Source organism: Homo sapiens, chromosome 20, assembly GCF_000001405.40.
Source record: "Homo sapiens chromosome 20, GRCh38.p14 Primary Assembly".
In the NCBI taxonomy this organism is placed as follows: domain Eukaryota; kingdom Metazoa; phylum Chordata; class Mammalia; order Primates; family Hominidae; genus Homo; species Homo sapiens.
This window is the reverse complement of record NC_000020.11, coordinates 25,724,347-25,749,003: the sequence shown is the minus strand read 5'-3', so window position 1 is coordinate 25,749,003 and position 24,657 is coordinate 25,724,347. Positions and strand designations below refer to the sequence as shown.

General features: G+C 38.4%; 1 long non-coding RNA gene and 1 pseudogene across 2 annotated transcripts in view; both read right to left on the bottom strand.

Annotated features, from left to right (window-relative positions):
- Positions 1–861: 861 nt before the first annotated feature.
- LOC107985400 (uncharacterized) overlaps positions 862–24,657 on the bottom strand; it is a 51,102-nt gene continuing 27,306 nt past the window's right edge. For both annotated transcript variants that reach the window (XR_007067557.1, XR_007067556.1), the window contains exon 2: positions 862–14,735. This is a non-coding gene — a long non-coding RNA (uncharacterized LOC107985400). The remainder of the gene's footprint in view (positions 14,736–24,657) is intronic.
- On the bottom strand, positions 13,890–14,775 carry VN1R108P (vomeronasal 1 receptor 108 pseudogene; annotated as a pseudogene).

Genomic DNA, 24,657 nt, shown 5'->3' with positions numbered 1-24,657 from the left:
AAATCCCTGTCTTCTGATTACAATATCTTGGATATATTGGGGTAGCTTCTACTGCCAGCATTTTATCTTCTGTATGGATTGCATTTTCATGTTTCTTCACAGGTCTCATTAATTGCAAAATTGTGTACTACAAACTAAAAAGGATATTTATAGAGACTCTGGATTTGGTTGTGTTTATTTGAAGAGTTTTTTTTTTTTTTAAGGTGTTACTGGGCTGAATTGAAACTTTATTACCTATCTCCCCTACACTGGGCACAGGTGAAATCCTCATTATTTCTTATTCACACATATGTCGTGTTTATATTATATGTAGATGGATTTCTATAATAATATATAGTATTTTTATCCTGGTTTCATGTTTGTTATTTTTAAGAGTGTTAGTTCACCAAGCTACTCCACAATGAGTAGAAGCCAGAACCTCAGTTTTGTTTGATTTTTGGATTTAATATGAATGAAATTATATAGTATGTATATTTTACATCAACTTTCCTTTATGAGACATTATATTTGTGATATTCATTCATGCTGTTGCATATAGCTATAGTCTATTTTTTAAGTATTTTTATATTGTGGTAAAATATATACAAAATTAACCATTTTAACAATTTTTAAGTGTGCAGTTCAAAAGAATTAAGTACATTTACATTGTTTTGCAACCATCATCCACATTCATAGGAAATGTTATATTTTTCATTCTGCAAAACCAAAACTGTGCCCATTAAACAATACCTCCCTTTTACCCTCCCTACAGCCCCTGGGAACCACTCTTCTACCTTGTGTTTCTATGAATGGAACGACCATAAGTACCTCATGTGACTGGAATCATACAGTATGGTGTAGAAATCATGAGGAACAATGATATACACTGTATAACATATGTTTATTAATTTGAATAAAAACACTAACAGAGCAGTAGTACATGGTGATTACAGAGGAAGATAAAAAAGAAAAAGATTGGAAGGGTGTTTTATATCTGTGACAATGGTACCTCAAGTTCCAGAGCAGTGAGGCTGCCCCAATCACAGTGCTAGTCACAGTGGAGTTAGTTGGAAGTCCAGAGCCCGTGCTCAGCCCAAACTTCACTGAGCCCTGAGGCACTCTGCACCTACCACCTGGGCACTCATTGGCCCTGAGATTCTTCATGGCCTGATCTTCTTAGCCTTGAGGGTGTTGCTGGCCTACTGGGATGGAGGCTCAGTGGGCCGGACAGGTTGTCACTGCAGGAAAGAGCAGTAGCTATGACGCTGCAGGAGCCACACCTCAGGCCTCCCTCCCAGTGCCTGCCCAGGGATCCCCATGCAACATGCTCTCCTGCTGACCAGGGAGCCATGTCCACAGGCTGTCTGAAGCTGGCTGTAAGAGAGAGTCTCCTCCTACCCTCTGAATATCTGCTACCCCCAAGTTTTATTCCAACTGTGCTTTTCAATGGACCTGAACCAAACCCCAAATTCCTCCTGACTCTGAAGATGACAGTTCTCTCTTGTTACAGAAGTGGCTGCATTTCTTGGAGGACTTTGATTTCCTGGACCCAGAGGGAAGGACAGGATGCTGACAGGGCCTGGATAGAAGATGCTGAAGGGGACTTGTTGGGGTGGGAGGAGCAGGGGCTGGTCTCTAGGGCTTTTCTCTTAAAGGGCACCCTCTTCTTCAATGCCATTCAGCTTCAACCTGTTTTCAGAGTTGGATATAAACAGCCCCTCCTCTAGGAATTTGTCATTGATTGCAGACCCCTACCCACACCCTCCACTGGGATGGGTTTCTTCCTTCTCTGTGCATCCAACCCTCCCAGTAAATCTAAGAGGCAGAGGGTGGAGCCAGGGGGCGTCCTGCCCAGGAGGGTCTCTGACTTCCACATTCCCAATATCCCCCAAAGTGAGGGCCCCAATTGCTCATCTTCCTCTTTTGAGTGCTGACCTAATATCCCTGGAAGGCAGACAGCCAAGGTTCATCAGAAAGGCACTCCGGCCCATGGCTAGCCCCACTCCTCACCTGCCCTCATGCTGTGCTACTGCCAAGGCTATGAGGGTCAGGGGTTGTGCACCAAGCAGAACTGAGACCTGTGTTAGCCTCTGGGCTCCAGAGGAGACAGCATGGGCACTGAGGCTTGGGAACCTTCTGCCTCAACCCTCTCTCATGACAGACAGGGAAATTGAGGCCTTGCATAAAGAGAAAGCGCTCAGCCATTTAGGACCTGTCTGATCTTTCATGGGTGCAATTTCCCTCTCCTCTCATGGGCACCACCTGAGGGACAGGCTAAGTTCAGCTCAGCCCAAACCTCACACAACTTTGCAGTCAGACAGCCCTGACGCATCACTACTCAGGAAGCAGAGGCTGGCAGCTGCTATGGAACCTCCACCACTCATAGGTGACATGGGCCTGACACCCCAGCTCACAGGGGCAGCTGTGAGGCTCTCATGAGAGGAGGTCTGCTGAGTGCTGAGATCCAAGGGCTCAATCCTCGGCTCTCTCCTCCCAGGCCTCAGGATCCCGGTCCCTGACCTGCCTGCCCCAGGCTCACTCCCATCCACACAGTCCTTCATGGCAGTGTCCAGCATCACTGAGGAACATGCCCAGAGACAGCACACAGCCTGGGCCATCAGAGTGCTAGAGATGATGAGCACCCGCTTTTAGGTGCCTGTCCAAGGTCTGTCGTGTGAAATCTCACCATTCCTGTCTTCTGTATCCCCTTACCCAGGTCTTTCACTTGGAGTAACTAAGGACCCCCAGCTGTCTTCCCCCAATTCTCACCTTTTTCCCCTAGCTGGTGTCCAAAGCCAGCGGGCATCCCCAGTTTGTTGTTTTTTTTTTTTAATTTTCTGGTGGGATATTAGCAAGTAATAAGATCATGGGGTCCCCTGCTCCACCATTCCCAAAATCCACAGTGAGCCAAGGTCTCCCAGGCCCTTTTTCTGGTCTCTCTAATGGAGGCATTTCAGGCACTGTGGTCACAGGAGGGAAGAGCTGGGGGAGAAAGGTCCCCTGCTTGCTTGATGTAGAGGCCTCCAGCTGGGAGGGACGGTCCCTGTCCTCTGACTCCCTGCAGCCCCTCCCCACCACAGGCACACTCACCTGCTGCTGCCCCAGATTTGCTGGGTTCCTCTCCAGGGTGACCAACTTGGAGGTCCCCTACTGTGAGGGTCAGGGGTAAGGTCAGTGAGATTATCCTCCATCAACCATTTTTCACCCCAGCCACACTAACCTCAAACCCTGGTTAACTGGCCTTGGTCAGCTGATGCAATACCCCCACTACCTCCAGTGAGTCCTGATTCTAGACTCACTCCCAGCTCCAGCACTCACGGCTTTGCCATCTGGGCATGAAGCCGGGCCTCCCAGAGGCTGCTTTCTCATCAGGAAAGGGCAGTGGAAACCACGCCTACCTCAGGGCCTCCTGAGGACTCAGTTGAATGTGACTATCACCATTGTTCTCACCATTATATTTATCAAGAAGAGCCAGATGCAAGGACCCTCAAATTCCCTTTCTCCCTTGAACCTCATCAGGACTCTGTAAGGCCTGCACAACAGGTTCATTATTTGTACATTTTTCAGATGAGGAAACAGAGACCTGCTCAACCAGGTCTCCCAAGACACCACATCTTACTTCCACCGTGGCTGAGCCCAGAATGGAGATGCCCATAGAGTCCAGAAGATGGAACCCTGGTCAGTAGTGGTGCTGGGGTATGGGGTGAAGGTAGCTGGGACAGGGCCTCCAGGTGGGAGGAGGAGTTCGTCTCTCCTCTGGGGATCTAGGCAAGTTACTGCCTGCTTTGGGTCTGTTTCCTGCCGTGTTGAGGTGCAAGACAGAATTAGCCGCAGAGGCCTGGCTTCCTGGAGAATTGCTGGGCTAGTCTGGGGAAGAAAGGAAGCCCCACCTACCACATCCAGCCCACAGCCTGGAAAAAGCTCCATGCCAGCAGGATGGACCAACATGGGAGCCAGAGCCCTGCTAATTCTGCCACTCATCATCCTGCTCAACAGCCCAGCTGCCATCACCACATTCCATTACCAGGGTCATCTGGCTACAAGAAAAATTACTGTTAAGCATGAGTTTGAGGACATCCATGTCTGTGTTAGTGACTACCTTGGGGGATGAGTTCAAAACACAGGAGGCACAGCTGGAAGCTCTAGCTGCCACTTGTGCAGCTGGGAGGGTGGAAGTTGCACCAGCTGAAAGTGGAGGACTGCCTTGCTAAACCTGACTGGGACGCTAAGGTCTGGAATCATCAGAAAGCAACTAGTGAGCCAGATGAAGACAGAGTTTATCACAGAAGAGGTGTAGGATTACCGTCCCCATTTTAGAGCAATCCACTCATGCAGCAGAAAGCAAAAGCCCAACACATGGAGCTGGGCAATAATGGACAGTCTTTGCAATAAACCTGTACTGTCTGAGAGTACACCTTAGTAGAACTATTAGACATAGCAAAAATACTTAAATAGTTGCTGAGAGAAAGGTTAGCCACATGGTTTGTGTGACTAGGACTCTGATAGAAATGGCATCTCCCTAGCTGACAGTGAAGCTAAAACAATGAACAAATAACCACCCATCCTGCTTTGAGACAGTGTTTGCACAAAGCTACAACTGTTCAGGGCAATCATAGTGTTATGGACTGGATTATCATGGCCATGAGCGAGGCCGGGCCAAATGAAGGAGACTTCTCAGGTCAGACCCTGGCATGGCCATCACTGGAGGAAACATACATCAATTTAAGTGAGTTGGGTATGTGGCAGGACATATATATCCAATAATTTGAAGGATCAGATAAGGCTGTGTTTACCATGGTCATGAAAAATCAGTAGTTAACAAAATGTCCCTTGGAATTGGCATGGTGCCCTCATATACATCTTGAGTTCCCTCATGGGAAAAGATGTGTGTGATGTGGGAGAACTGTAGCTAATCTTGGAGAAAGAGGGAAGAAATAAGGTCTGACTGCTTACCAAAGGAAAAGGAAAAGAAGGACATGCCAAGTCTTTCAGTAACTCAGTTAGGGTTACTAGAAAAACTAATGTATAATCTAATCTCAGCTGGGGTGGACAAAGAAAAGGCCATATTTGTGGGCATTTGGAAGGAGTTGACTTCTGCTAATGCCCTGCCTAGTGCCCTGCCTATTGCCCCAGCAGAAGAGTAGAAAGAAGAAAAAACTTTGCAGAAAAGAACTCCAATCTATGTTCAATGAGTGGCGTCCTTCCCAGCCTAGAGAATAGGGTTAAGGCCGAGGCTGCCTTCATGTATGAGCAATCGAGGTGACCAGAGGTCCATGTGGAGTTCACAATTCATTTAAGTCCAGAAAACAAGCAGAGGACCTTAGCAGTGGTAGGCACAGGTGTCAAATGCACCTTAATTCATGGAAATGCAGAAAGACATCCTGATAAGTGGGGAGCTATAGATGGCTATGGGGGATGAACAATCTGAGTTAAACAAACTTCTTTCCCCCTTGGTTCTGGTTAGAACCTCCTGCTTGCTTTACTGTATCTCATCTAGTCCACAAAACATCTTGGGTATAAATGTCCTCTTAAGGCACACTTTACGAACATCTGTTGGAGAATTATGCCTATGGATTTGGGTAGTAAAAGCTATGTTAAGAGGGAAAGTAAAAGAAAATCTGTACACCTTTCTTCCCCACGGTGTGCTATATTATTTGGCCAGCCCAGAGTCCCTTCAACAGTAGCAGTGTCTTTAGATGTGACCATAAGTCCTGATGGGAACACTGGGGCTCTCGGGCAAGTCCAGAATAAAAAAACAGTTCCCCTAGGATGTTTGTGGAGGAGTGGTGAAATCCACTGTTTTGACTGAACAGGTATACAAGGCTTGCAGCAAATGGAACCCATTTGCTGGATGAAAGGCTTGTCTGCCAGGCCTGAATTAGCCATTGCTCAAGCCTCCACTGTACAAAAATGGCATGCAGATCTGCAACAACATAGTATCCTCTCCATGAGTCCCTTGGGGAATGAACTGCCTGCTATGTTAGGGCCAGTGCACTATGAGACAAGGGCTGCCCCCAGTGCGGATCCCTCACAAGAGATGCTTCCAATGTACATGAAGGCACGGCCTCATTTTTGAAAATGATTGGTATTCAGATCAAGCCACACATAGTAACATGCATGTGGATGGCTCTAGCTGTACAACTAGACAGATGCTATCTGGATTGAGGAGGGAATGCAACAAAGCCATCAATGGGCAGAGCTTCAACGTGCATAATTGGTTGGTATCCATGAGTTATGGCCTATCCAGGTGGGCCTGTCTGTACAGAGAACTATAGGGTCTTAAGGGTCTTACAACTTGGCTTCCCAATGGTCCTGAAATGGTTGCTATGTGCTTTAAAAACCCTTATGGCCAGCTGCCATGTGAAACGACATTTGGGAGAGGCTACAAGAACCCACTGTGAGCTTAATCATGTACTGTGTTTCAGCACACTGGTCAGATTTCCTTCCTGGTAACATGGATGCAGATACTCTAGCAAAAATTAGAACATTGGCTTCCTCACAGTCATCTGAGCTAGTTGATTGGGTACATGAACATAGTGAGCATCACAGTGCACGAGTGGGCTGGCAAATAGCGAAGGTAGGATGATTGCCCTCCACTATGCAGATTTAGTGGTGGCAATAACAGTCTGCTTAGTTTGCTCTCACCTGAGCCCTCACCACACACCACATACATAGGAACTCATTCATAAGACAGCTACCCCTCTGATAAGCTGGTAAAGAGACTACATCGAATCCCTGCCAGTAAACTTGAGACAAAAGTATGCACTAAAATATGTGGATACTCTTATAGTATTATTTCAGGCCTTCACTTGCAAAAGGGCAAACCAGACAGCCACCATCAAGGGCTTGAAGCAACTCGGTGTCATATATGGATATCCTCAACACACTGATAGTGACTGAGGCACACATTTCATTGAACATGATGTCCAAGGTTGGGCACATGAAAAGGATATAGACTGGGAATTCTATTTATTATGTAATCCTCAAGTGGCAGGTTTGATTGAAAGGAAAAATAGCACTAGACTCAACTGTGAGCACTCTTAAAATCTAATATTTTGCATGGCTGGGTGAAGGTTTTGACTCCAACCATTAGACACCTTAATTCAGTTGAAACAAATATAGGGTTGGAACTATACCAATGATTCAGGATCCCCATAAAGGAGGGTCTATTAACCATCATTGTAAAGAAAATCCAACCAGATCCATTTCTACTGTAGCTGATAAAAGGCCAATGGCACGTATTATTTAGGACTCCCCAAGACCTCCAGCCAAGAAAGGGAGCCCTTGAATACTGTTGGACTGGCAAATTTCCCCTGGTTGGATAGGCTATTTCTTTCCAGAGAGTGAGAACTTCCCCAGCCAGCTAAAGTGGTCTCTGTTGATCCTGTTGGAGTCTGGGCAAAAATGTGCCAAATACCAATACACTGGAACACAACTTCTTTTAAAGAACACTTTGATCAGTGGTTTAACATAGTCTTTTGCTGTCCCTGTAACTTTACAGATAATACTGGCACATTTACCCCTTAGGCCCCATGTTTGGTGTGCACTCCCAGCCCATAATCCTTTGGGTGCCTATGTCCTAACTAACAGGGACAAAGTCACTACAATCATTCTGCTTGATGGGAAAGAACTGCCCTTTCAACTACTGCTAAACACTTGTATTTACACCCATAGTCTTCTGTTCCTGTTGCTGCTCTGCTGTATTTTCTCTACAATGGGCTCAACATTATGCTGACAGTTCATAAAAGGATGCCTACTGGCATTGTGGTTATTTTATTCCAGCACCTCTGGTATGCCTTGGTATGTATCACCTATGCAGAAAAATGACTTGCAGAATGTACAGATATTCATCAAGTCTCTTCAACAGTGGAATACACCTTTAGAAGATGTGACAAGAAGTGATGTAATTAGCCTATTAACAAGACACTTAACAGTTATGGACATGGAAAGCCCTTTTCAATAAATGCCACACAAAAACATGTAGTAACTAGAGCTACGCCACAACCAAAGGATTCTAAGGAATGAGTCTTATTATAAGACCTTGACATTCTCACTGTAAAGAAGGTCTTTTTAAAATTTGAGATGGTTTCATTTGGCTGACACCAGCTATAGGGCATTTAAGTCAGTTAGTGCCCCTATGATGTGAGCAATGAAACCACGCCTCATGGCTCAATTATACCCATAGTAAGGGCTGGATGTCCCAGGAACAATGCCAACACATTGTAATACTGCAAGCCATGGACTGGGTTACTACAGACTCATCTCAACAACCTGGAATAAATTGGCAGCTCCAAATGGTACTGAATGGTTGTATGGATTTAATCTCTGGCCTTGGTCACCATTGGGATGGCTAGGACACTACATGTTAGGTTTTCTATTGGTCCAAGGATGATGGGAAAAGCAAACTGATAAACCTGTTAATTTCCCATATGTGACTAGTAGGTGGATAAGGGCTTTCTTTTATTGGTATGATTATTTAGCTTCAATCTCTGTGCCATTTGTAGGCATTGAAAACACATTAACTATACTCAGCTTTTTCTCAATGACAGCCTCCAAGGTATTTTTTAATGAACTCTGAGATGACCCCCATACTGAAGGCTATTCTACAAAATTACATGGTATTCGATGTATTAACTGCTGCACAAGGAAAAGCTTTTGCCATGATTAAGACGGAATGTTGTGTATTTATTCCTGATCATTCTAGCAGTATAACTCTAGCCCTACAAGACATGCATAAACAAATAACCACAGTGTCTGACTCTAACCTTTCTCCCAATGGCTCTCCTCCTGGTTTGGATCCTGAGGAACATGGTGGCAGAAAGTGTTATTAATTCTGTGTCTGATACATGTCATAGGTGTCATTGTCTGTTGTTGTCTGTATTGTTACTGCTATATCTGCTTATAAGCAAAAAACACAGTGATAAAACATGTCACCTACAGTCTCTCCACAAAAACTAATGGACCATCACAGAAGAGCAGAATGCTGAGATAGTTACAGGTGGATAAGATGGGTGGAGTGTAAAGACTAAAGTAACTCCATCCTGAATTATAATTTGCCATTTGACTTTGATTACCCCCAGTTCCAGGAATGCCTTTAGGATATCCACTTTATCTACTGCTCTTTATATAAGACCACATCCTGCCCCTAGGTCAACAGAAACCTTGATGTTACGGCACAAATTACAGGATATGACACACATAGATAGCAATCTCATCATTTCCTGGAAGGTCCACTTTAATTGTCTGGCACATTGGTCATATGCCCTTTTCTATAGGGTATAAGTCCTGGGTCTGGAGGGTTACGGCGCAGAGATCTACCTGTATTGCACCTGCCAAAGATCATGCTTCATTCTCTGTGTCCCCCCAATAAATCACCCTCTACTGACAAACTGGATTTGTCTGCCTTAGTGGTATTTTAGTGAATTTTTTTGTATTTTTTAACGGAAAATTGTATCATTTACAATAAATACAGTTCTACTTTTATATTTTACAATCTGGAATATTATAGTGAAAATTCTTGTCTTCTCCCCAAACTTTCAGGTAAAAAAAAAAACACTAGTTTGTCACCATTAAGTATGATGTTAGCTACAGATTTAAAAAATAGATGCATTTTAGTAGGTCTCAAAATTTCCTTCTATTAGTAGTTTGCTAGGGGTTTTCTCAGGGATGGATATTCAATTTTTGAAATTTTCTCTGTGCCTATTTAAATTATCACTTTTTGTTCTTTACTAGTATTGAGCATCATCTTGATTAAATTTTAGATATTAAGTCACAATTGCATTTATAAAACAATATCATATGGTCTTCGTGTATATGCATATTTTATGTGACTGGATTTGGTTTGCTATATTTTCTGGGGATGTATGTATATACATAAATATGCCACATTGGTCCATAGTCCTTCTCTGTCATATATTTGGGTCTGCCCTTAGTATCACAGAAATACTGGCCTCCTAGAATAAATTGGAAAATGTTCCCTCTTTTTCAATTTTTGAAAATATTTTTGGGTGAAGAGTTAGTATTATTTATTGAATATAGGGACAGTTTTCCATAAAGGCTATTTTGCCCTGGAATTTTCTTTGTGAAAATATTTTTAATTAATAATTTTGCTTGTTATATAACAATTCATAATATATAAACATATATTCATCTATTCTACTTACTCAGTTTTTTTATAATTTGTACATTTCAAGATATTAATTTCTAATTTGTAGTATTCTATGTGTAAAAAATTTTTCTAGGCTGTTAACATAGAAAAATCAGAAAAATACAGAGCAAGGCTTCAGCCCTATTAATGAATGACTCAAAGTCTCTTTATTGTAGGATGGGTAATTAAAATATAATTTTATCCTTACTGTTTATATTTATCGTGATGCAAATAAGGTATTGAATTTAAAATATTAGTGAAACTGCCATTTAGCTTTGGCTTTTATCAAGGCGGCAGACTGAGTAGACCTTTTAATTTTCATTGATATTTAAATAAGACAAACATAATTTTTAATTAGAACAAACAGAAAATAATATTCTATTTGAAGAATGGTATAAAGATGATAATTTGATGAATCATGTCTTTTAGTACTTGGTTAGTGCATACAATATGTTAGGTAAGATTCTAAGCCATTACACACACACACACACACACACACACATCATACGTAAGAGTTTGAAATGAGGAATCCAGAGATTCTTGAGCAGTGATGAATTGACATATTTTCAATCTTACTTGGTAACTTTAAAACTATCATTAAAATCTACTGTTTTGGCTTACAACAACTAAATGCACATAAAGGTATTAAATAACTTTATTAGAAAGCTTGACTAACTCTGCCTGGAAATAAATGTGTAGCACAACTGAAAAGTAACACACCATTATACAATACCAGACAAAAGTATTTTAAAAGAAAAAAAAATTAGGACTAAAAGATGCCATTAAATTGGTCACCGCAGAAATACAACAGAGCACATTTTTAGGCACTGTGATATGTTAACAGAATATTAATGAGTGTGTAAACACAGTCCCGTGTGCTCATCATTACAGGAAAAAAACTTTTAAAACTAATAAACTAATTCAGCAATGTTGCAGGATACTATATCAATGTACAAAACAATAAATTGCATTTCTATACACTTACAACAAAATATATGGGAAAAATTAAGAAAATTCCATATGCCATAACATAAAAAATAATACTTATAACTAAGACGGTAAAAGATTTGTACAATAAAAACTCTAAAATAGTGGCAAAGGCAATTATAGAAGAGACAAAAAAAACTTAGTGTTCATGGATTGGATAAATTAATATTAAAACATTCATACTACTAAAAGTGATATAAAGATTTAAAGCAATCTCACCGGGTGCAGTGGCTCACACCTGTAATCCTAGCACTTTGGGAGGCCGAGGTGGGTGGATTGCTTGAGGTCAGGAGTTCGTGACCAGTCTGGCCAACATGGTGAAACCCCATCTCTACTAAAAACACACAAAAAAATTAGCCAGGCATGGTGGCGTGCACCTGTAATCCCAGCTACTCAGGAGGCTGAGTCAGGGGAATTGTTTGAACCAGGAAGGTGGAGGTTGCAGTGAGCTGAGATCACCTCACTGCACTCCAGCCTGGGCCCTGGGTGACACAGTGAGACTCCATCTCAAAAAAAAAAAAAAAAAATTTAAAGCAATCTCCATCAAAATTAAAATATCATTTTCCAGAAAAATAAAAAATTTCTAAAGTTTGTAAGGAATTAGAAAAGACCCAAAATAACCAAAGAATTTTGAGCAAGAACAAAGCTGAAGGCATCAAACTTCTTAATTTCAAATGATATAACAAAGCTACAGTCATCAAAACAGCATGATGCTGGCATTAACACAGACACATAGACCAATGAAACTGAATAGAGAGCTCAGAAATATCCATCTGAACACAGTCAACTAATTTTCAACAAAGATATATAAATATACAGTGAAGAAAGAATACACTGTTCAATAAATGGTGATGGGAAAACTGGATATACACATGCAAAAAAAATTTAACCCATCTTTTACAGAATACACAAAAATTAACTTAAGAGATTAAAGACTTCAATATTGGACCTGAAACCATAAAACTTTTAGAAAACAACATTGGGGAAAATTCTTTGGCATTGTTTGCGGCAATAATTATTTTTTGTATTTGACACTAAAAGCCCAGGGAGAAAAAAAATGAAACGACATCAAACTAAAAAGTTTCTACTGCATAGCAAAAGACAGTCAATCAATTTAAAAGGCAATCCACAGAACCGAAGAAAAATACTTGTAAGCCAAATATCAGATAAAGGGTTAGCATTCAAAATCTGTAAGAAATTCATAAAATATAACCCCCTCTGAATAAAAATAACAATAAAAATAACACATTCTTTTTAAAAGTAGCCAAATAATCTAAATGGATCCTTTTTCAAAGAAGCCATTAGTAATCATCAGGAGAATGCAAATCAAAACCAAAATGAGATAGCACCTCAAGCACATGTTAGGGTAATGTTTATTAAAAATTCAAAAGAAAACAAATGTTATCAATGATGGAGAGAAAAGGAACCTTGTACACTGTCACTGGGAATGTAAATTGGTAAAGCCATTATGGAAAACAGCATGATTATTCATCAAAAAATTAAAAATAAAACTATCATATGATTCAGGAATCCTACCTATGGTTAAATATCCAAAGAACATAAAATCACATATTGAAGAGATATCTTCACTCCTATGTTTCTTGAAGCAATATTCACAATAGACAAGATATGAAAACAATGTAAATGTCCATCAACACATAAATGAATAAAGAAAATGTTATAAAGCTAGGCATGTGGCTCATGCCTATAATCCCTGTATTTTGGGAGGCTAAGGCAGGAGGATTGCTTGAGGCCAGGAGTTCAAGACCAGCCTGGGTAACATAGCAAGACTCTGTTCCTACAAATTAGCTTGGCATAGTGGTGCACCCCTGTAGTTCTAGCTACTTTTGAGGCTGAGGTGGGAGAATGATTTGAACCCAGGAGTTTGACGTTTCAGTGAGCTATGATAATGCCACTGCACTCCAGCCTGGGGAACAAAGACAGACAACTGTCTCCAACAATAACAAAAGAGAAGTTAATATAAATATATGTATACAGCATAGAGACTATATTAATAATATGTATTGTATAAGTAAATTATATTAATGAAGTAGATCTCAAATGTTCTCACCATACACCAAAAATACCCTTGTATGAGAAGTAATTGACATGTTATTAAGCTTGATTTTGGTAATTTTACAATGTGTGTGTGTGTGTGTGTTTATGTGTCTGCGTGCACGTGTCTATACCTCAAAACATCATATTGTGCACCATAAATATACAAAATTTTTGTCAATAATATCCCAATAGAGGCGGGAAACTATCGAGTATTACCAAAACAGTATCTAGCCACATATAAATTTCATTTAAAACCCTTTAAAATGAATTCTAGATTAAATTTAAAATCCAAATTGACATAATTTTTTTTAGTCAGGGAGGTTACAATGAGCAAGCATGGCTTAAAAGCTAGAATTGAATATTTAGCTAAAGTATCATTCATAAACAGAGTAAGTAAATATTTTCAAAAGTAAAAACATTGAGAGATTTGATTACCAAAACAAATTTTTTAAGAATGTACTTCAAAAAGAGAGAAACATTTTCTTGTACAAAGTTAACATAAAAATAAAAGTGCAAAAGACTTGATATCTGAAATGTCAATCTATGGTGAACATTGAACTGAAGAAACTACATAGTCCTTAGATGCCTCAGTTTCAGAAGCATAAAAATATAATAAAAGTGTAATTCCACGCATTTTATTTAAACTCAGTAAGCTAAATCTGGGGCTACTTGAACAATTTAACTATAGAATGAGACTAATTTTTAGAAATATTTTTCATCACCAACACATTAAAAAATTATAGCACTTTAATTCCATTTTTTGGAGAATATTAACTATTCTTTTATCAGAGCGGATTTGTACCAATGGAACGAGAGTGGCATAGACACAGGCTACAAGGTTCTAGATGCTCAGGATGACTGGGTTATACGTCCATAACAGGGATGAAGAGGATGAGATGATAAGGTCCACCCAGTACATGACAACAAAGCAACTCACCAGTGGCAGGATGATCTGGGTAACCCTTTTCTCTGGCGAGGATCTTGGGGAAAGGCTGGTACTGTGAAGATGCTGGGATCACCTCTGATGCTTGGACAAAAAGATCATCATGTATGCACTTGAGAGCAGCGTAATCCTACAAGGAAAACACTCCCCACATGATGGACTTCATGGGAGAACGTGAGCAGTATTTGCGGACCTTAAGTAGATTGGTCTGGGTCACAATGGAAGAAGCCACAGTGAAGAATATTATGTCACTACTGAAAGACAAATTGAGGGAACAAAAAAGAAAAAAGAGGACACTGACAATGTTATTTGTAAATTTATGTTTAAAGCTTTCCAACCAGAAGTTGCTGAGGCTGATTATGCTGGCCTGGTGTATACTCAGGAGACAGGTGGTATAGATACATAGGCCCCTCGTCACTCTGTTTATTTAGATCAAGGACTTGCATTTGAAGTTATTCCCAAAATGCAGTGATTCAAGCATATCTGGAGGCAAAACATCCACTACAGTGAGGACCATCACTACCCGAATGAAGGCCAAGTGACGGCTCATCCAGTCATGTGGCTTAGGTTTTTGATCCTGAAGGAGTGTGAAGATGTGGAAGAAAAGCAAAAAGGTGTTGTCTGAAAGTCCAATGGCAGATTCAGAAGAAAAAAAAAACATTTTTAGGCATAACTGAAGTGAAAAGTGTGTTCATATTAATGACAAACATATTTCATATATCTGGGAACAAAACAATGGATCTCACATTATCAATGTTTGTTCTTTAGTGTCCAAAATGATTACATCATTATTTTAATTTTACCCACTTCTTGGTTAACTCTATCTCATATAAATTCTGCATAATCCAGTCTCTGCACTATTTTCTACACCAAATAACTTATACATGTAAAACATCAACACATTCATAATTATGCCTGTGTAGATGCACAATTTCTAAATTTCTATTATACCTGTGCCTCTCTTTTTAGAAATCATATCCTTGTTGTTTAATATTCCTGCATTCTATATTAAGCATCTAGGATGGTAAGGAACATATAAAATTGCTCAATGGTATTTGCTCAGTTAAATTAAATGAAAATTTATTCTAATAGGAAAGAATCACTAATAAACAAATGCTAATATCCAGTTGACTCTTTCTCACATCCCATCACTTTGATACATCTCATTCTTCATCACTCTCCTGTGAGTTTGGACTCGGTAATTCTACTGAATGCACTATAATAATTAATGATAATATCCTTATTTTCAATCAGCTGATTCTCAATCTTGATTTCATCCGAAACCTTATATTTCCTTTGCCATGAACTGTGAAATATTCTCAGTATGTGAGAATTAAAATGAACATACTTAAGGGGCATTATTGCCCCTTAAAGATTATATTATGTTTACCAGTAATCTACTAATTCTTTTACCTAAAAATGATGCTGATTTTCTCCAAGCTTATTTTTCATCCCAGAAATATTTTATGAGACTCTCTTCCTTTCAGCACAGGATTGCCATCTCTCAATTATCGAGAAAAAAATTGCCACTTTAGTCACTACATGACAACCATGAACTTGCTTCTAAATAATCACATGTTGATTCTCTTCCTGAGACATCACTTACTGCAGGGATACTCTCAAATGCCTAGAAAAATACTCTCTCCAATAGTAAAGGTAATTCCCCTAAAGTTTTCACCAAATATCTCCAATACCAGAATATCTTGTAAAGTTTCACAGCATAATGATGCAGTTACTGTCTCATGTTATTTAGCTTGGGTTCAGGCATCATTATTTTATCAGTTGAATTTAATCCAGATCTAATAACAGTTTAGCTTCATGACATGGAGAAATAGAAAACCACCACCTTCACTCAGATTATTATGAGATGAAGGTGTGTCCATCTCTATATTCAAGGACACTTATTACTGTACTGTCTCATAAATATAAATATATAAGGCAAAGCAGAAATGTTGACAGCATTCTTGGCTAATAATCAGGCTAGGCTGATAAATGACTGAGGTAGAAAATTGCCTTAAAGCCACCTGATACATATAGACAATTTTGTAAGACATACATTGTATAGTTAATTAAATAATTGTTACTTTTTAAAGGCTTAATCTAGTAAGATAACACATTTATTTTAGCTGCAAGAACCAAACAACAGAGAGCTCCTACCAGCATACCGTGGCACCCTTGGCACAGTTTGGTTCTACTAGCGATTTGGAGCCAGAAATAGTAGGATCATATTAAATTAATGGCTTAATGTTCTCTAAATATTAGGATTATATTCCATTACCAGTAACAGAATAGTTGGGCATGGATTAATAATATGTGTACAATGATTTATTAACTATATTTATGTAATTTTATTGGTTTACTCCATGTTATAAACCATGTATCGAAAAGAGATGATATAAATAGTTAGATAAAATAACATTGATAATGTTAGTATTTTCTTCTCTCACTACCAACAGATATTGAGCTCACCCTCTCTAATTCATGCCCTTCCCTCTGTAAGTGGCCATCACACACTGAAAAGGACTTGACTTTCTGAATTATCAAATGGTGTATTTCTCCATGAGAACCTGGAGGGCATTGCTACTAAGCCTGGAAAGGAAAGAACCATGGTCCCCATGGAAAAGGTGCACAAATAATTACATTTAATAATAAATTATTTTTATTGTATATTTAAAAAATATATCTCAATTGACAAAACTGAACTGATTGTTGTCTTCAATATATCAAAAGTGTTTTATTTTATGCAAATTTTAAACTGTGCATCGTTAATTTCTTCTAATGATTCTGGCAAATTTATTATGAAAAAACTCATGGAATTTGCAATAACAGGATGACAAACTGGGAGAAATAAAATAAATTAAAAATCCATGGAAGTTACTTACACTTTGGTCAGACTGCAAAAAATAATTGAGTTTTATTTGATACACTAAAAATATAAAATCTGAACACTTTTTAGCTCAGACTATGAGAAGTGACAACTAGAGATTGCTAGGGCTAAGCGTAAAGCTATTCTCAGAGAACAGACAATGCAAATTAAGTTCACTCTCATTTTACTGACTTTAATTTTAGGCTGTTCTCAATATCATAAGTCCCAAAGTGTAGACATGATCATGGATAATGATGGGGAAAATAACACCATTAAATGCACTAGGCAAAAAAAGACGATCATAACATATGTGGGGTTAGATCAGACATCTGAAGAAGAGATAAGGCATATAATGAAAGACAGAAGTCATTTATAAGAACCCAAGAACTATTTGTATAGAATGAATATGTTCCATTGAGGGGAAAAAAGTAGTCTGGTAAAATGTATTCTTTTACCTTCATCACAAGATTTAACTTTTAAAGTGGTTTTATTTTATAAATAATATTATTTGAATAGTGAGTAATCTTTTCACTTTGCCTTCTGTAGATTTAAGAATAAAATCTATTTTTAAAAACTGTTTTGTTTTATATTAATCAAAATGTCATTTTAAACATACATTTTTTCCATATTAGCTGAGGAACCTTGTAAGACCTATGATTGGTCATAAAAACAAAAGTAATTATGAGCATTTTGGGTGTCAACTTGAGGGAGGTTGATTGACAAATGACAATAAGTGGCAACCTCAAAAAGTCAGATGACATTTAGAAAATAAAAACTCATTTTCACTAAAATTAGTTTCATAAACATATCTTTTTAAAATACACAAATGCCAGAAGAATAACTAGATAAGCATCAGATGTTACTGATTTACTGCAGTGCATCAACAATTCTCTAGAAATTAAACATAGTGTGGGGTGCAGCTGAAAGTACAACTCTTGTTGACAAGCATAATGCTAATTCTGAGACATTTAATTCTCAGCTGCCCTGGGGGAAAACATAGGCAGGGAAAGTATCGCTGCTGAATTAGGAGGCAGAAAAATAGCTGGAGAGACTTGATCACAAATTGTGTGCTACCAATTTTGAAAAACCCTAAAAATACTACAGGAAAATTTTTAGTTTCTATTTTGTTTATTTTTTCTGACCATCCCAACCAAGAAGACATCAATTAGTAGACACACATCTTTACTAAAGGCTTGAAAGTTTTATTTTTACCCATTATTTCCATGTGTATTACAGCAAAGAGACTGCAAGTCATAGCTATTAACTGTGTCAAATATTAAATTTGGAGGGATATTTCCAAGTGGGAAATTGAAAGGTGAAGGAACGCATTTTTTTCTGTGTACACTAATTAAAAGCAATTGAACTTTGTTCTGATATTATCCTCCCTCAGAGCATAAAATGCAGACAGACATTTAAAATGCTTTAATTAATTTATTTAATATTCACAGACATAATGACTTTGTGCTTTTAACTTTTCTGGAGAATTCTATGCCTTCGTTGATCATAAATTTTTGAGCTGAGTTTAGGCTGCTGGCCTAAAAACAGGCACACTTGCCCCTCTACTGCCACTGCCAGGGCCCAAAGACTGGGTCATTGGTGTCCAAGTCCCCAGCTAAACTTCAGCACAATTTCAACTAGTAACTGCACCCTAAGCCGCTGAGGAAATCACAGAAACCACTGACCTATGTACTGCCAAAGAAGTCATAAAAAGATCACACTACAACAGGCACACAAAATCAAAGCCAGAGTAATTTCTGCAGTCAACAACATACATATATCCTTAGGAAAACATATTTATCTTTTTTTTAATTATTATTATACTTTAAGTTTTAGGGTACATGTGCACAATGTGCAGGTTAGTTAACATATGTATACATGTGCCATGCTGGTGTGCTGCACCCATTAACTCGTCATTTAGCATTAGGTATATCTCCTAATGCTATCCCTCCCCCCTCCCCCCACACCACAACAGTCCCCAGAGTGTGATGTTCCCCTTCCTGTGTCCATGTGTTCTCACTGTTCAATTCCCACCTATGAGTGAGAATATGCGGTGTTTGGTTTTTTGTTCTTGCAATAGTTTACTGAGAATGATGATTTCCAATTTCATCCATGTCCCTACAAAGGACATGAACTCATCATTTTTTATGTCTGCATAGTATTCCATGGTGTATATGTGCCACATTTTCTTAATCCAGTCTATCATTGTTGGACATTTGGGTTGGTTCCAAGTCTTTGCTATTGTGAATAATGCCGCGATAAACATACATGTGCATGTGTCTTTATAGCAGCATGATTTATAGTCCTTTGGGTATATACCCAGTAATGGGATGGCTGGGTCAAATGGTATTTCTAGTTCTAGATCCCTGAGGAATTGCCACACTGACTTCCACAATGGCTGAACTAGTTTACAGTCCCACCAACAGTGTAAAAGTGTTCCTATTTCTCCACATCCTCTCCAGCACCTGTTGTTTCCTGACTTTTTAATGATTGCCATTCTAACTGGTGTGAGATGGTATCTTATTGTGGTTTTGATTTGCATTTCTCTGATGGCCAGTGATGGTGAGCATTTTTTCATGTGTTTTTTGGCTGCATAAATGTCTTCTTTTGAGAAGTGTCTGTTCATGTCCTTTGCCCACTTTTTGATGGGGTTGTTTGTTTTTTTCTTGTAAATTTGAGTTCATTGTAGATTCTGGATATTAGCCCTTTGTCAGATGAGTAGGTTGTGAAAATTTTCTCCCATTTTGTAGGTTGCCTGTTCACTCTGATGCTAGTTTCTTTTGCTGTGCAGAAGCTCTTTAGTTTAATTATATCCCATTTGTCAATTTTGGCTTTTCTTGCCATTGCTTTTGGTGTTTTAGATATGAAGTCCTTGCCCATGCCTATGTCCTGAATGGTAATGCCTAGGTTTTCTTCTAGGGTTTTTATGGTTTTAGGTCTAACGTTTAAGTCTTTAATTCATCTGGAATTAATTTTTGTATAAGGTGTAAGGAAGGGATCCAGTTTCAGCTTTCTACATATGGCTAGCCAGTTTTCCCAGCACCATTTATTAAATCGGGAATCCTTTCCCCATTGCTTGTTTTTCTCAGGTTTGTCAAAGATCAGATAGTTGTAGATATGCGGTGTTATTTCTGAGGGCTCTGTTCTGTTCCATTGATCTATATCTCTGTTTTGGTACCAGTACCATGTTGTTTTGGTTACTGTAGCCTTGTAGTATAGTTTGAAGTCAGGTAGTGTGATGTCTCCAGCTTTGTTCTTTTGGCTTAGGATTGACTTGGCGATGCGGGCTCTTTTTTGGTTCCATATGAACTTTAAAGTAGTTTTTTCCAATTCTGTGAAGAAAGTCACTGGTAGCTTGATGGGGATGGCATTGAATCTGTAAATTACCTTGGGCAGTATGGCCATTTTCACGATATTGATTCTTCTTACCCATGAGCATGGAATGTTCTTCCATTTGTTTGTATCCTCTTTTATTTCCTTGAGCAGTGGTTTGTAGTTCTCCTTGAAGAGGTCCTTCACATCCCTTGTAAGTTGGATTCCCAGGTATTTTATTCTCTTTGAAGCAATTGTGAATGGGAGTTCACTCATGATTTGGCTGTTTGTCTGTTGTTGGTGTATAAGAATGTTTGTGATTTTTATACATTGATTTTGTATCCTGAGACTTTGCTGAAGTTGCTTATCAGCTTAAGGAGATTTTGGGCTGAGACAATGGGGTTTTCTAGATATACAATCATGTCATCTGCAAACAGGGACAATTTGACTTCCTCTTTTCCTAATTGAATACCCTTTATTTCCTTCTCCTGCCTAATTGCCCTGGCATACAGAAATACAAACTACTATCAGAGAATACTACAAACACCTCTATGAAAATAAACTAGCAAATGTACAAGAAATGGATAAATTCCTCAAAACCTACACCCTCCCAAGACTAAACCAGCAAGAAATTGAATCTCTGAATAGACCAATAACAGGAGGTGAAATTGTGACAATAAACAATAGCTTACCAACCAAAAAGAGTCCAGGACCAGATGGATTCACAGCTGAATTCTACCAGAGGTACAAGGAGGAACTGGTACCATTCCTTCTGAAACTATTCCAATCAATAGAAAAAGAGGGAATCCTCCCTAACTCATTTTATGAGGCCAGCATCATCCTGATACCAAAGCTGGGCAGAGACACAACCAAAAAGGAGAATTTTAGACCAATATCCTTGATGAACATTGACACAAAAATCCTCAGTAAAATACTGGCAAACCAAACCCAGCAGCACATCAAAAAGCTTATCCACCATGATCAAGTGGGCTTCATCCCTGGGATGCAAGGTTGGTTCAATATACGCAAATCAATAAATGTAATCCAGCATATAAACAGAACCAAAGACAAAAACCACATGATTATCTCAATAGATGCAGAAAAGGCCTCTGACAAAATTCAACAACCCTTCATGCTAAAAACTCTCAATAAATTCGGTATTGATGGGACATATCTCAAAATAATAAGAGCTATCTATGACAAACCCACAGCCAATATCATACTGAATGGGCAAAAACTGGAAGCATTCCCTTTGAAAACTGGCACAAGACAGGGATGCCCTCTCTCACCACTCCTATTCAACATAGTGTTGGAAGTTCAGGAAAACATATTTTTCTACAAAAGCAAATTTTAAAAATTGGAACACCAGATGTGTACATATCAATAGAATGACACAGGAAACATGAAAAAAGCAGGGAAATATGACACCACCAAAAGACCACAACAATTGTCCAGTAATATGATTCAGATGTGTTCCCCTGCCCAAATTTCATACTGAAATGTAATTCCCAAGGTTGGAAGTGGAGACTGGTGGGAGGTGACTGGATCGTGGGAGTGGATTTCTCATGAATAATTTAGCACAATTCCTCTTGGTACTGTCCTCATAATAGTGAGTGAGTTCTCATGAGTTCTGTTCATTTAAAAGTGTGTAACACCTCCCCTTTGTTCTCTTGCTCCTGCTTTCACCATGTGATGTGTGTGCTCCCCCTTGGCCTTCTGCCATGATTGGAAGCTTCCTGAGGCTCCTCCAGAAGCAGATGTTACTAAGCTGCTTGTAATGTCTGCAAAACTGTGAGCCAACTAAACCTCTTTTCCTTATAAATTACCCAGTTTCAGATATTAGCAATGCAAGAACATGCTAATACATTCATCAACAGACCCTAATACAAAAAGAATTGCTCAAAATGCCACATGAGGATACAAAATATTGATTTGAAAGAAGCTCAATGAGATACAAGAGAAATCTAGAAACAAATACAAAGAAATCAGAAAATCAATTCAGGATAAGAACTGAGAAATTTACCAAAGAGATCAATATTTTAAAGAAAAAGCAAGCAGAAAATCTGGAACTAAAAAATTCATTGAAAGAAATACAAAATACATTGAAATCGTTAATAATAGAATAATCAGAAAAACAAATCTCAGAAATTGAAGACAGGTCTTTTGAAATTATCCAGTCAGACAAAAAAAAAAAAAAAGAATAAGAATGAACAACATCTTCAAGATGTCTGGGACTACACAGAGTGATGGAACTTATGAATTATCAGTATTCCTGAGATCACCATCTATTAGTCCATTTTTGGACTGCTATAAAGAAATACCTGAGACTGGATAATTTATAAAGAGAAGAGGTTTAATCGGCTCACAGTTCTGCAGGATATACAGAAAGCATAATGGCTTCTGCTTCTGGGGAGGCTTTAGGAGCCTCCAATCATAGCAGAAAGCAAAGGGGAAGTGAGGCACATCACATGGCTGGAGTAAGAGAAAGAGGCAAGGAAGGTGCACACTACACACTTTAGATCAACCACATTTCACAGTAACTCACTCACTCACTGTTACAAGAACAGCACCAAGGGAATGGTACTAAGCCATTTATGAGAAACTTCCCCAATGAACCAATCATTTTCCACTAGGCCCCACCTCTAACATTGGGGCCTCACCTTCAACATGAGATTTGAGTGGGAACACAGATCCAAACCATATCATCCTCAGATGTAGATAGAACAAAAATTTAGAAAATATATGTAAGGAAATAATCAATGAAAACTTCCCAACTTTATCAAGAGAGTCAGACATCCAGATACAGGAGGCCCAGTGATACCCAGGAAAATAGTTGCACAAAGGACTTCACCATGGCATATTATATTCAGAATGTCTAAAGTAAAAGTGAAAGTATTTTAAAATTAGCAAGAGTAAAGTATCTAGTCACCTATAAAAGAAACTGCATCAAACTAACAGCAGATTTTCCAAAAGAAACCTTGCAGGCCAGAAGTGAATGAGATGGTATCTTTACAAAGTGCTTAAAGAAAAACACTGTCAGCCAGAAGTTTGTATCCTTTTGATAAGCTTCATAAATGAAGGAGAATTAAAGTTTTCCCTAGACAAGCAAATGCTAAGAGACTTTGTCACCACTAATCTAGTCCTACAGGAAATGCTTAAAAGGGTCTTAAGCATGGAAACAAAAGGTTGATAGTCACAAAAATATACAAAAATATAAAATTCACAGTTTGTATAAAACAATCACACAAGGAGCAAGAGAAAAATATAAAATGGCAACATGACAGAATTTCCTCAAACCACAAAGACAGAGAAAAATAAAGAAAAAAAGTTATAAAATAACTTGAAAACAAAAATATAACAGGAACAAAATGTCATATATCAATGTTAAACTTGAATGTAAATAGAATAAATGCTCTGCTTAAAAGATAAAGATTGGCAGAATGAATTTTTAAAAACCATAAACCAACTATATGGTGCCTGTAAGACACTCATCTTACCCATAAAGACACATATAAACTAAAAATAAAGAGGTGGAAAAAGATATTCCACACAAATGAAAATCAACAGTAAGCAAGATAAACACTGTACAATAAAAATGGTTTGAAAAAAGACAAAAAAGGTCATTATATAATGAAAAAGAGATCAACTTAGCAAGAGGATATAACAATCCTAAATACATATACATCCAACATCAGAGCACCCAAATTCAGAATTCCAATATTTCTAGACCTGAAAAAAGAGACAGCAATACAATAATAGTGGGAGAATTCAACACCCTGCTCACAGCACCAGACAGATCATCAAGACAAAAATTAACAAACGTTGGTCTTAAATTGGACTTGAGACCAAATGGATATAACAGACATTTACAAAACATTCTACCCAATATATATTCTTTTCATCAGCACAGGGAACATTCTCTAAGATACACTACATGTTAGGTCACAAAACAAGTCTTAAATTTTTAAAAATCAAAATCATATCGAGTATCTTCTCAGGCTGCAGTGGAATAAAGCTAGAAATCAACAGCAAGAGGAACCTTGGAAACTATATAAATACATGGGAATTAAATAGCATGCTCCTGAACAGTCACTAGGTCAATAAAGAAATTAATATGGAAATTAAACATTTTTTGAAACAAGTGAAAATAAAAACACAACATAACCAAAACCTATGGTATACAGCAATAGCAGTGCCAAGAGGGAAGTCTTAACATTAAATGCCTATATCAAAAAAGTAGAAGGACCACAAATTTACAAGCTAATGTCACACCTCAAGGAACTAGAAAAAGAACAAACCAAACCCAAAGTTAGCAGAAGAAAATAAATAACAAGGAAATGAACAAAAATAAATAAAATAGAACCCTCC